This window comes from Homo sapiens, chromosome 6 (assembly GCF_000001405.40).
Source record: "Homo sapiens chromosome 6, GRCh38.p14 Primary Assembly".
In the NCBI taxonomy this organism is placed as follows: Eukaryota; Metazoa; Chordata; class Mammalia; order Primates; family Hominidae; genus Homo; species Homo sapiens.
Window position 1 is genome coordinate 27,775,781 of NC_000006.12, and position 14,132 is coordinate 27,789,912.

General features: G+C 40.8%; 1 pseudogene, besides 1 other annotated feature; it reads right to left on the reverse strand.

Annotated features, from left to right (window-relative positions):
• Positions 2,103-2,162: a silencer, noted in NCBI's record as "silent region_17039". NCBI's record gives its function as "represses an Ori minimal core promoter by ATAC-STARR-seq in GM12878 lymphoblastoid cells {active_cell/tissue: GM12878}" and the evidence as "EXISTENCE:reporter gene assay evidence [ECO:0000049][PMID:35858748]".
• Positions 4,703-5,377, reverse strand: RSL24D1P1 (ribosomal L24 domain containing 1 pseudogene 1; annotated as a pseudogene).

The window sequence follows — 14,132 nt, forward strand, 5'->3', positions numbered from 1 at the left end:
GGTGGCTAAGCTGTCTGAAACCGTCTGGGTCCAACATGGCGCTGGATTTGACCCATGCCCTACCCAAGACCTAATTATATGCTAATTACCATACGAAATTACACACCCACCAGCGCCCTGACAGATCGAGTACGCCCATATTTAATATAAAAATGGGTGGCATCTCAATTTTATGAAACCTTCGCCTTTCCCCCAGAAAACCTCATGATTAGTCCACCCTCTAATTACAAGAGCCCATAAAAATAGAAAACTCAAACTCTGTTGGGCACGACTCATTCTCATGAGCTCACCCACACTTCCCTAAGTGTGTACTTTTGCTTAGCAATAAAAGCTTCTTGCCTTTGGCTTCATTCTGACTCCTCCCTGAATTCTTTCTTACGAAGGTGTCAAGAACCTGGAAACTGGCTGGGGCTGGGGCTGGGGTCTCACTGGCTTCTGGAAACCCTTCTGAGCCCTCTGGCAACACCTGTAGTGTAAGCAGCAATTCAGTGCTGTGATGCCTCGGTCCCAGACCTTTTTGGCACCAGGGACTGGTTTCATGGAAGACAGTTTTTCCATGGACAGGGGTTGGGGGAGAGGGGAATGGTTTCAGGATGATTCAAATGCATTACATTTATTGTGCACTTTATTTCTATTATTACATTGTGATATATAATAATTATACAACTCACCATAATGTAGAATCAGACGGAGCCCTGAGCTTGTTTTCCTACAACTAGATGGTCCCATCAGGAGGTTATGGGAAACAGTGACAGATCATCAGGCATTAGATTCTCATAAAGAGTGGGCAACATAGATCCCTCAAATGGGCAGTTTACAATTGGGTTAGAACTCCTATAAGAATCTAATGCCTCAGATGATCTGACAGGAGGTGGAGTTCAGGCGGTAATGAGAGTGATGGGGAGCAGCTATAAATACAGATGAAGCTTCACTGGCTCTCCTGCTGCTCACCTTCTGCTGTGTGGTCCGGTTTCTAACAGGCTGCCACTACCACTGACCAGTACCGGGTCAGTGGCCCAGGGGTTGGGGCTCCCTGCTGTGATAGTTAATACCCATGGCTCCAAATCTAGTGGCCCCACGTCAGGTCCTGGTGGGACCTGGTTCAGTTTTGCTTAGGACTCATCTTGTCCACATGAACCATTCCAGCCTGCTTTCTCATGCTCTTATTCTGGGATATCTTCCTAACCCCAGTATATCTGCCTCAGTGTCTCACCCTGTCTTTTTAGAAAAGGAAAAAAAAAAAAAAAGAAAGAAAACGTAAATGAAATTGGTGGAGAGTAATGGCCACCAATCCTATGCCTGACCTGGAACTGGAAACACAAGGCTTTCCTGAAGACAGAGAAACTCTGAGAAAACGGGAAAAGCAAGTTGGTGAAAAGAGCAAAATAAAAGTTTCAGAAGGGACTTTCTTGACATAGCACAGGATGAAGGAGTATCAAAGGTCTCTGTTTGGGCCCTTGGCTGGGAAAGCCCACATTCGCTGAAAGTGAAAGCTGTCCGCAGACATAACACCAAAGGGTTAGGGTAGGAAGCCCCTTTTTATGAATTCAACGGCAGGGATAGGGGTGGGGATAAGGTGGGGCTGCGTGGGTACACCAGGCGCCCGGAAAGCTGCAAAAGGCGTTAGGTCAATATGCAAAAATACTTCTAGGTCAATACGCAAAAATACTTCTAGTGTTGGGAAAGAAATTTTATTGGGGACAGGAAACAAGCGAACTGGCTAATATACTTTCTCTCTAAGGAGAGTAGTCTGACTTAATGCCTTCCTCGATTCTCTCTAAGGGCTTCTGAGGGCTTTGCTTGACTTTTCTCCTGTTTCTGCTCCTGAGCCCAAAGCAGCTCTTAAAGAAAGAAATGTCAGGTTTTGAAGCATGTTTGGTAGATTTGGAAAGGGCAACTCGCAACTTGAAGGGGATTGTTGGAATCAACTGGTTCTAGAGTGAGCTGATCTTAAGAGGCCAAGAGGAAAAAAGAAAAACCGGGAAAGAAACAGTGAAAGAAAAACAGAAAGAGGCAAAACAGTGTAACAACAACAACAACAACAACAACAAAATGGCTGATCACCTGCATGATAAATAAGAAGAGTAGAAGCGTGTTTTCCGTTAGCAGAGTGGCGCAGCGGAAGCGTGCTGGGCCCATAACCCAGAGGTCGATGGATCTAAACCATCCTCTGCTAAAGAAGGGTGCTTTTTTTTTTTTTTTTCCCCCCCCCCTTCTTGAGGAATTACCTTCCACAGTTGTGGGGAGAAGATGGCCTCTAAATATATATTATATATATTATATCTCTCTCTCTCTCTCGCTCTCTCTCTCTTAAAAGTCCTTTCAGAGGCTGTATCTCACTTTTAGATATGTCTTCAGCATGTTCCTTCTCCTTTCTCCAAATGTTTGCGTAACTCCTTTCTTACTCATATCTTATTTGGAAAGGCATATCTTACTTGGGAAGAGGAGGTGACAATTCTCATGTTTACTTCCAACAAATTACCTATCTTCCAGTGAATAGAAAATACACTGAGGTTGAATATAATTTTATATTTTCTTGCACTCGAAGGCAAAACACTGTTACTGACTTTTGCCTGAGACCATTGGTTATTGTAAATCGTTATTGTCTTTTTGCTTCTACGGGAGCCTCCTGCTTCTTTTGCTCTTTTGTTCATCTCTATGCATGATTTATTAAATTCATTTCGTGTACTGTGAATTCTTCTCTAAAGCTATCTGTTACGATGGCCAAAAGACATCATTTATACCCTCCTCCTTCCATACTTACAGAAACTAGACACATGGAATGTTATGAGAAAGAGAAGCAACAATGAAGTTAAGTGTAAAATGGTTGATTCTACTTGGATAGATTTTTTTAAAAAATGTAAATGGTAGAAAACATAGGGGTACATTTAAAGCATTTTGTGAATCAGAATTCCATGGGCAAACTCAGAAGACCAATAATCTTTATTTTGTCTGCTTACCTTCTAGAAGCATTTTAACTAACTTTAAATGTCCAGGCATAAGAGATTGGTTGAATAAACTGTAACATGGACTCAAAGAGGAAGCGCTATGGGGCTACAAAAAAGATATAATTTCTAGGAGATAGTGTTAAGTAAAGAAAGTGCAGATGAATATTATAGTAGGCTACCTTTTTTCAAGAAGGAAGGGGAATTAAGAAAACATACACATACCTGTTTTTCTTTCTGAAAAGAAAACATAGTGAAGATAAACCAGAAAACAGTGAATCTGGCTACCTAAAATGGTGGTAAGAGACTTGGGGGAAATGGAGTGTAAGGGACATGGGACGCCACTTCTCTGAGTTTACCTTTTGTTATACCTTTAACTTTTGAAAGCATGTGAATGTTTTACTTTTTTTTTTTTTAACGGAAGAGGTTCTCTGTGTGAACATGTTGACTAAATACAAAAGGGTTATAAAAGGTCTTTGCTTCTTTAAAATTTCTGAGTCATCGTTTTGGCAAAATAAATAACTTATAGCAATCTGGAATTCCCAAAATCAAACATCGGTTTCAAAAATCTCTTCCCTGGCACCTGGCTTTTTGAATACTTCAGCGGGCCCCTGAAGTGTCCAGAAAAGACAGGTAAACAGGATTATTTGACACGTTTAGGTACATGGGATTGCCAAAATGATGCTCAATCTTCTTTAGGCTATATTTTTGTGAATAATACTAATATATATTTCAAAATTGTATGGGATTTCTAAAATAGTATAAGCTATTAATTATAGTTATGTTAAGTTATTGTAAACTGCAGAAACAACCAAATTTTCTTGTATAAAGCTACTAACCCAAGTAAAACAAAAACTTAATTAAATATCAAGAAAATAATTTCATGTTAAACCAGCTAATACTGAAATTGTTTAAAATAGTTTATAACCAATGCTTGATGCCATATTCCTGGGAAAACAAAGCTTCAGATATGTTTGGTCACGTGGTCGCCCATTTAAACATTTTATAAAGGAATTTTATTCATTTGTTATTTTCTTTTTCTGTTTATTTTTTCTTTTTAAATGGTTTCATTTTATGTGCAAATAATGAACAGATGTTATACTCATAAATTCTACTTTCCAAAAACAGGAGCTTTTTAAAAGAAAACCATATAATAACTTTTAAAAGGCACTGGGATTCCTCTGCTTCTAGAACATTGCTAGGCTAGAAAAATAAAGTTTGTTCTACCAGCAGTCACAAGTTAGAACTGAGTATTCTCCAAAATGGAAATTCTAGAGTGTAGTGTCACTCCAGGCAAAGATTATTCAGTTCTCATCCCCAATATCCACAACTACCTATCAGAAGGGTTAAACCAGGTCAAAACAGTCCAGAATAATTAGGCTTCATCAAACAATGTCATTGTGCTCTTCTAAGATACAAATAAACCAAAACAGGAAATACTAAAATCAAAATAACATTTGACACTGTTATACAAATTGTTAGTTCCTTGTTGTATCCCCCCTTCTGTAACGTTAATAAACGGAATATTTTATTGCAAAGAATATTTTATTTTATACATCACTAGCCATGAATTTTTGCCATTAGTTGTTATACAAATGCTGCCTAGTGCCATTATCCAAATAGCATAACCATTTTACATCCACAATTCACTTCTATAGTTAGAAGTAGAATTTTCATGATTTACATACGTACATCTATCAGTGAAGATTTAACACTGAGATGCAATCTAACATTCGTAATATCTGATGTTTTGCAGATGTCAATGTAGGAAAGATATGTTTTAATCACTTTTCATTTAAGTGACCTTATGTAAAAAATAAACTAATAATTTAGCAGTTCCAAGTCTGTAAAGGACATTTTCAAATGTACATAAAAGAAATGGTTACAGAGATTTTTAAGATGTGTTTTCCATGCCTACATGCTCTTGTAACTGCTGTACCATTTTCTCTTCCAGCTGCTTCTCTTTGCCTGCAAGAGGGGCTTGAATAAGATGGATGTTTTGCTTGACTTCTTTGATATCCTGAACTTTCTGTAGCTCTTTATTTTTATTCAGTCTGTTCATTATAAATTTAGCTTGGCATTTCTGTTTGATTTCTTCAATTTGCTTCATTGCATCAATAGTTTTATTCCATAGCTCTCGCTGGTATTTGATAGGTTCATTTCTACGTTTTTCAAATTCAAATGAATTATCCACTGTAAGCTCTTTACCAGCTGCATTCTGGAATGCTTTGATCCACCTAGCTTTGCGAGGACTGCACTTCTTTTAAAAGTTTTTATGACATTTAGATTTACAAAATCTGAACAACTTGCAATTGTTGTGGACGAACATCATGCCGTGACCAGGGTAGATGGGCCCTGAACAGAAATAACACTTCTCAATACACATGTTGAACCCACGTGGGTCCCCACCAAGCAAACACCAAGCTTGAGAGCTCATTTGTTATTTTCAGTGCATGTTTTCTGGTTGTATAAAAGGTTTCCTATGCAAGAGGGCTGATGTTATAACAGTAGATTACTACAGTGTATTTTCAACAGGCAAAGAAAGCTTTTTATGATTTGAATCTTCTAGAAGCATCAGAGAAAGACTGTTCTTGCCATTCACACTACAACAAAACTTTGGGATCTTGAACTTTGAGTTCATAATCTCACAACTGAGAAGGGTCCCTCCAAGCTCTTGGAGCTGTGTGCCCACTGGAACCCTTAAGGTAAAATTAACCAAAGAAATTTCTCCCAAGAGGAGAATGGCATCCTTACTATGAACAGCTTTTCTCACGTTCACAGATTAAGACTTCTACTGTCGTGAAACTTATCTTCGAATATTTTTTGTTGCTTATGCCTCTACAAAAAAATAGAAGTGGAAAAGGTGTCTGTTATGTGCACTTATGGTGTATACTCTTACTTGCGAAGGAGTTTGTAACCAGCTTTTTAAATGGGTAAACTTATACTTTGATAGATAAAAGATGAAGGCCCAATGTAGGTAAGAAACTTTAAAGGTACATGCTTTGCCTCATAATCAAAAACAAAACATTGGTTCACTCCTCTTAACCCACATCATGGGTTAAAGAGAACATTGCCAGAAGGCCTTCACTCTTCTAAAAAGGCATCATTTGTTAGGTCCTTTTTCCATGGTTTAAAGAAAAAGAAGCAATGATTAGAAATATATCCCTCACAATAGGTTCTATAGCAAATTCTACTGTAAAGGCTATAGTTACACAATAGACTCTAAATTACCTTGTGAAAGTTATGATAGAATTGGCTAAACAGAGAAGTATCTGTGCAGCTGCTGGCACTTGTGGCCTATGGAAAAATACGTCAAATGAAGATTACAGAAATTCAGTGGTAGAGGATTGACAAAGAAATTGCTAAGTCAAGTGAGTAAATTCTTTATCTAGCTGATCCTTTGATCTATTTGATTTTAAGAGGTTTGGTTTATGGGGACCTTGGGTAAGGAGCACACTCCAAACTCTTGGTATCATCCTCCCAATAGTCATAATAATAGTCTCCCTGGTGCACTGCATTCCCTCGAAGGTTTTAAATGCTTGCATGTAGCCATCTCCAGAATGTCAAATGGTCTTTCTTCAGCTGGAATAACAAGAGCTGAAGGAAATGTGCAACCATGAGGACCCCTTAACCTATGAATGATGTGCTGAGACCAGAAGCCCAAAATGATGGTAACTGAGAGCAGCACTAAGGCCCTAAGTTTTGGTTACACTCTCACCTGAGAACCTGACCAAAAAGGGGAAATTTTTTTAACAAAATTCTGGAAGGCCATTGTTTCGGACTAGGCTTATGCACTAGGCCCCAACAAACCAAACCAAACCAAAAGGGAGTCACTTCTGCTAAGACTTTAAGGAAACACATAGATTTCTAGAACAAACCAGGTTTTGTTTTTTCTCCTGCAAACCTCTATAACAAACATTTCTGAGAGCATAGGTATCCACCCCCGAAGTTCCCATTAAATCTTTTAACCAAATTCATTTCCTCTTGCTTAGAAATCATCAAGCTTCAGATGATCATGAAACAAAGGTTCCAGCCACCTCCATGTGAAGACACCACCCCTGGCCATCAAGAAGCTACCTTGCCTTCACTAGACAGAACAGGGAGAGAGTTCCATGATCCACAATAGGTAGGGACTACGCCCCAAGGTAGCATGAAGCAGTTACAGAAAAAAGACCATCAGTCCCTCTGCCTCCCATAAAGATTTATGGGGATCACATCTCTCAGGGAGGAAATGAGACAGGAAAATAAGGTCTGGAGGCAGGGAACATAAGGCCAATTCATACTTCAGCTATAAAAGGAAATATCCTCTCCATAGGGCATATGCTGTAAATGACTTTGTAACTTTACCTCATCCTGTCTGTTTATATAGGGCTTCCGAAGTAACAAATAAGAATTCTCTAGGGGTTAAACTCCTGAAAATTCTGTAACGGGGCCTTTGAGCCCCTAGGTTCAGGTCCACTCCCACACTGTGGAGTGTACTTTCATTTTCAATAAAACCCTTAATTCCTTCATTGCTTTGTTTGTGAGTTTTGTCCAATTCTTCGTTTAAGACGCCAGAACCTGCACACCCTCCACCGTTAACAGTTACCTAAAATGGTGTTGGTGGTAAGAGACTTGGGGGAAATGGAGTGCAAGGGATATGGGAGGCCACTTCTCTGAGTTTACCTTTTGTTAGACCTTTAACTTTTGAAAGCGTGTGAATGCTTTACCTTTTTTTTTTTCTTTTTTTTGAGACAGAGTCTGACTGCGTCACCCACACTGGAGTGCAGTGGAGCGATATGGGCTCACTGCAATCTCCGCCTCTCAGGTTCAAATGATTCTCTTGCCTCAGCCTCCCGAGCAGCTGGGATTACAGGCACGTGCCACCTTACCTGGCTAGTTTTTGTATTTTTAATACAGATGAGGTGTCACCATATTGGCCAGGCTGGTCTTGAACTCCTGACCTCAGGTGATCCACCCACCTCAGCCTCCCAAAGTGCTGCAATTACAGGCATGAGCCACCGTGCCCGGCCAACCTACATTTTCAAAAACTGTTAAGTAAGGATGGGTAGTGGAGAAAACTAAGGTTGAAAGCAAGTTAAAGCAAATGAACTCAATTTTATTCCATAGTACGACTACATGGAAAGGAAAATAACATAATTTGTGGACAGGGCATTTGACAGTACACCTTCACTCTTTGGCCAAGAGAGTGAGGATGGTAAGGAGACAGGGGTGTGTGTATGGAGAAATGCAAACAAATCTTTAACTCTATTTATTTATTTGGTTAGTTGTTACAATCACCTACTGAACCTCTTTTAATGGATAGTTTTTGTTAGTAGATGGGCAAAGCAATTCCAAAACTATTGTATGTGTATTATATGATACAGCAGGTGAGTAAATATGCTAATCTTGTTGGAATTAGGGGTCTCAATGTGGAAAAAGGGACACATACAAATATAGAATGGGAGAATATAAGAAAGAATCCTGAAGAGATGAATGGATTGAAATGGGAGGTATGGGTGTGAGCTCATGATTTTTTTTATTTTTTATTATTTTTTATTATTTTATTATCATTTTATTTTTTTTTGGAGACAGGGTCTCTGTCCCCCAGGCTGGAGTGCAGTGGCGTGATCTCGGCTCACTGCAACCCCCGCCTCCCAGGTTCAAGCGATTCTCCTGCCTCAGCCTCCCGAGTAGCTGGAATTACAGGCACATGCCACCATGCTCACCTAATTTTTTGTATTTTAGTAGAGGCGAGGTTTCACCGTGTTGCCCAGCCTGGTTTCGAGCTCCTGAGCTCAGGTGATCCATCTGCCTTGGCTTCCCAAAGTGCTGAGATTAAAGGCGTAAGCCACCTCACCAAGCCGAGCTCATGATTTCTAAAATATGTATATGTATTTGTATGGGCATGAATACATGCGCATATGTGTATATATGCACATGCACATGTGTAAGTATATATGATTATATGTGTATACATGCACATGTATTTCCTAGGTGTTTCCATTAAAAGGACCAAGAAGCAAATATCATAGAAGCAGTTAGTACACTATGCCCCCGGATATTCCTCTCTAATACTCTTCCCCACTGAAAGAAATCAGGAAAGTACTGAGAAATGGCTGAATTTTGGGCTGGGGCAGGGTAGATGCAAATTAAGTCTGGAACAACTTGTTATGCAGAAAATAAGAACATGTTCAAAAGAATGATTGTGGCACTTTGGGGGGCCGAGGCAGGCGGATCACAAGGTCAGGAGATCGTGACCATCCTGGTCAACGTGGTGAAAACCCATCTCAACTAAAAATACAAGAAAAATTAGCTGGGAGTGGTGGCATGCGCCTGTAATCCCAGCTAATCGGGAGGCTGAGGCAGGAGAATCCCTTGAACCAGGGAGGTGGAGATTGTAGTGAGCCAAGATGGCACCACTGCACTCCAGCCTGGCGACAGAGTGAGACTCCGTCTCATTAAAATAAAAAAAAAAAATGATAGTAGCAAGCTACAAGGATCCAGAGGCCACTCGAATGGTTTTCCACTATGAGCAGGTACAGGCAAAGCAACCTCCAAAGTCCCAGGGAGATGAGAGGCCAAACAAAGTTTGACAAATCCAGTTTCTCAGAAAGAAACATTTAATAAAGACTTACAAACAGAAACCACATCTTGGGCTGCAGCCCGAGAGGGTGGATCCCTGCACTCACCCTGCAGAAAGTATCCTTTCTATAGCAAGCTTTTAGGGTAAAATATGAACAGCTGATTACACCTCAGACTGTCTCGCAAAACCCATGGCCACTGGGGAAGTTAGATAAGCAATTTTATGAGGGGTTATTCATGCTACATACATTGTTTTTGACCTTGCTGCAGAATACCTTGGTATGCAGGAGTCAAATATTAGTCATTATGATTGTTTTACTTCAAGATGGCTTTACTCCTGCAAGGCAAGAGGCTATGTTCCCAAAAAGGGGCTCTCCCTAATTAAATATGGGTAAAGTTGAACATCAATATAATTAAGGACAATAATGAGTTATAAATCACTGGGGAGAAAAGATTCCATGAGTCCATATCAATGATAGACATTTAAGTAAAATGGAGAAAAGGGAGGACTCTTGCTTAAAATAGAATGTTGTGTGCAGACTAGTAAATAAGTGGGGAAGCCAGGGAACACTTTATACTTTGATGATGCTCCCTTAACCTGCTGCATCTCCACCGTCAGTTCTCACACTTGACTTCCAAGCATGAGCTATGGTGAATTTTTTTTCTGCCCAAACTCCACCTCCCACAACACTCTTTAGCCCTCTCCTCTGCCCTCACTTTATTTGCTTTAGTTCAGTTCTCATTCCTCCGATCTCAACTTGACTTTAATGAGGCTTCTCTGGCTTCCATTATCTCAGCTTAGCTGCCTCCATCTATAATTTCTCAGCACCCAAACTGCCCTCATCATAACACCACACGTTTTAGTTTCTTTTTAATGTCTCTCTCTTACCCTCCAGCAAGCTATCCCAGTGCAGGGACCAGTCTTGAGATCTTGTTCCCTTTAGAGTCCCCATTGCTTAACACAGTGCCTAGATCAGGATAAGAGTTCATCAACACTTTGCTGGGGGTAAGACTTTCACCTAGTTATGATCTTCACCAGAACCCAGGATGGCTCAGTTTTACATTTTGTCCCAAGGCTGTCTGCACTGGTTGTTCCCAAATTTCTTCTCTCCATTCTTCCTTCTTCACTAATCCCAACCCTGCTTGCTTTTAAAGGGCACGTGTTTAACCATGATTAAAATAGAAGAGCTTGTGGAGTCACTGAAAGATGGGAACCTGTTTGCATGGTAAGGATTGAATTCACGATGGAAAAAGGTTCTCGTTCACATGATTTTTGGCCAGTGTCCTCTGGAGAAAGAGATCCACACGTGCGATTCTATATTTAGTTGTATACATTTAGTCGTTATTTGCAGAGGCCTCATCTGCTTCAGTGACCAGCACCTGGAGGAGTTATCAAAAGTTTGTGGAAATGAATGGAACATTTTGAGGCCTCACCCATAGTAAGCAAAGACTTACAAGGAACCTGTTTTCCATTCACCAGCCATTTCATTCCCAAGGCTTCACAAAGGAGAGCTTGTCCTCTCAGTAATCCTGACTCCTTTCCACTTCTCAGAAAGACTACGTTCTGCTGTCCACATCGCTGCTTTGCTCAAGGGAAAGTCTGGCCAGGGGCTGGGGGGTGCAAGGCCCTGGTAGTGCAAGTAGACATCTCTCTGAAAAGCTGTCATTGTCACATTGCAGGTCATGCGTTCTCACATGCGCTGCATTTGGGAAACTGACCTTTACTTCCCCAGGTCACACCAGCTGGGATGATTTTCACCTTTGGTGTTGGAAAAGATTTTTCGTGTCTTGTTAGTTTTAGACGAGAAATATAATGAGGTCTCCCCATAAAAGTCTGAAATCTTCCCATTTGTTAGGATCATTCCCTTGCCACCTCCAGGGTTTTACAGTTTGGAATTTCAGGAGGAGAAATTCACTCTCTCTCCTGCCTCCGTGCTTGCAAGTCATGAACAATTCTTAGCCACCCTCGTTCTGGGTTTGTTTGGCGGAGAAACTCAATGACGGAAGCACATTCTCACCTGTGCTGTTCTGATGAGGCTAAAATCAAAGACTTTCTCAAGTGTGTGTTTCTATTTGGGGCAAACTTCACGCAGAAAGTCTGAATTCTGCAGGGACCATTTTTGTTTTGTTTTGTTTTGTTTTTGCTGCTAACCATCTGAGTTCACGAGGCAGTGAGCCTTCTTACAAATGAACTACATTCCCCAGCATCCAGGTTTTACTTTTAGTTTTTAATGAGAAAGCAGAGGTAATAGAAAATCAGAAAAAACTCTCTCTTTAGGAAATAAATCAGCTTATAATTAAATGTAAACCATGATGCAACCTCAAAAGACCTAAATGCTTTTGAAAACCAGTTATGGTGGTGTCAATTTCATTTGAATGCTTATAAGCAAAAGGAATTTAGGAACTAGAAAACTGATTAGCAAATTACTAATCCTGTTGAAACAGCAGTCCCAAGTAAAGTTACTTTGATTGAGCTCGGTGATAATTTTTTTTTTTTTTTTTGAGACGGAGTCTCGCTCTGTCACCCAGGCTGGGGTGCAGTGGCGCGAGCTCGGCTCACTGCAAGTTCCGCCTCCCGGGTTCACCCCATTCTCCTGCCTTAGCCTCCGGAGTAGCTGGGACTACAGGCTTCCGCCACCACGCCAGGCTAATTTTTTGTATTTTTAGTAGAGACGGGGGTTTCACCGTGTTAGCCAGGATGGTCTCGATCTCCTGATCTCGTGATCCGCCCCCCCTTAGCCTCCTAAAGTGCTGGGATTACAGGCGTGAGCCACCGCGTCCGGCCGTCGGTGATAATTTTTTCTGCTGCATTTTCTTGCCATTCATTGTAAAGTTAGAGGAATTATCTTGTCAAATTGTTTCTGTGAGATTGTTTTCTCAATCAGAATCATATAGGTTTCCTTTTTTTTTTTTTTTTTTTTTGACAGATTCTCACTCTGTTGCCCAGGCTGGAGCGCAGTGGTGCGATCTTGGCTCACTGCAACCTCGGCCTCTCGGGCTCAAGCTATCCTCCTGTCTCAGCCTCCTGAGTAGATGGGATTACAGGTGCCTGCCACCACGCCTGGCTAATTTTTGTATTTTGGCAGAGACAGGGTTTTGCCATGTAGCCCAGGCTGGTCTCGAATTCCTGAGCTGAGGTGATCCACCTGCCTCAACCTCCCAAAGTGTTAGGGCATGAGCCACTGCTCCTGGCCTCACAATCATATAGGTTTTCAAATGGCATCAAGATTTATAAAACTTGGGCCGGGTGCGGTGGCTCACGCCTGTAGTCCCAGCGCTTTGGGAGGCCGAGGCGGGCCGATCACGAGGTCAAGAGATCGAGACTATCCTGGCCAATATGGTGAAACCCCATTTCTACTAAAAATACAAAAATTAGCTGGGCGTGGGGGCACGCATCTGTAGTCCCAGCTACTCGGGAGTCTGTGGCAGGAGAATCGCTTGAACCCGGGAGGCGGAGGTTGCAGTGAGCAGAGATCGAGCCACTGCACTCCAGCCTGGTGACAGAGCGAGACTCTGTCTCAAACAAACAAACTTGTCTGATAACTGTGCATAATTATAAAATTAGTAGCGTTCAGCTTTGGCTCTGGCTGAAAATTTTTTTAAAAAACACGGTAGTGAAAGCAATGGGTGTCACTAATTGATTAATTGTACTTATTGTCATCCTTTCAGATGTATCACTGCTTAGAATGAAATTTACCCACACAAATTCTTAGATTCATGCATAGTATAAACACATCCATGTAACTTTAGGATTTGAAACTGCCATTTAATCTTTAGGTATTTAGCTACAAGTTATAAACAAGCTTGCTGTGATTCTAGTGCTTCTGACAGTTTCAAACCTTAAATGTAGTCCTCAATATATCTTAAAAAGAGCACAGTGACAATATTTTATCATTGGTTTACTTTGTGCATGGGCAGAAAAGGAAATAAAGAAAACAAAACAGAGCTAATGGAAGAAATAGAGAAGGAAAAGGGAATAGTGGGATAAGGAAAGAGAAAAATAGGAAGGCCAGACTGCCCTTGAGGTGTGGATCATGAAAATCAAAAGATGCCATTGAGAGATTAACCCTTGTTTTCAAATTAACCATTCTTTTCAAAATTAACCTTTGTTATACAAACTTGAGCTTTATCATATTTCCAAATATCTGTTTTTCTTTTAAGAAAATTTTTATCTTTTAGCTTGGCCCAACTTTGGGACATATTCCAAATATCTCAAATGAATGCCAACGTCACCAAGGTCTGTTTGTGACCTATTGTTGTTTTCTGGATCTCTTCAAAGCCTGCAGGGTTCCCAAGGAAACTCTGCTGTGCTTAATGGCACCAACATCTTCATTATGAGTAAGGTAACTAACCACTGGGCCAAAGCATTGGAATCCGACTCCTGGGGTTTCTGCACTCCAGACTACTGGTTCACATGTAAGCTCATCAACAGCCTAATGGGTTCTTAGTTCTTTACCAGAAGCTGGAAACTACAAAATGGAATATTTGAGTCTTCAACCTCTATCTCTTTATCTCTTTATTCCCACGTGCCTGAAAATGTTGAATACCGTAGAGGAAGAATGCTTTCGGGATATAAAATGAATTTTAAAAACTAATCAAAAGATCCCAGGCTGCAGTGCATTG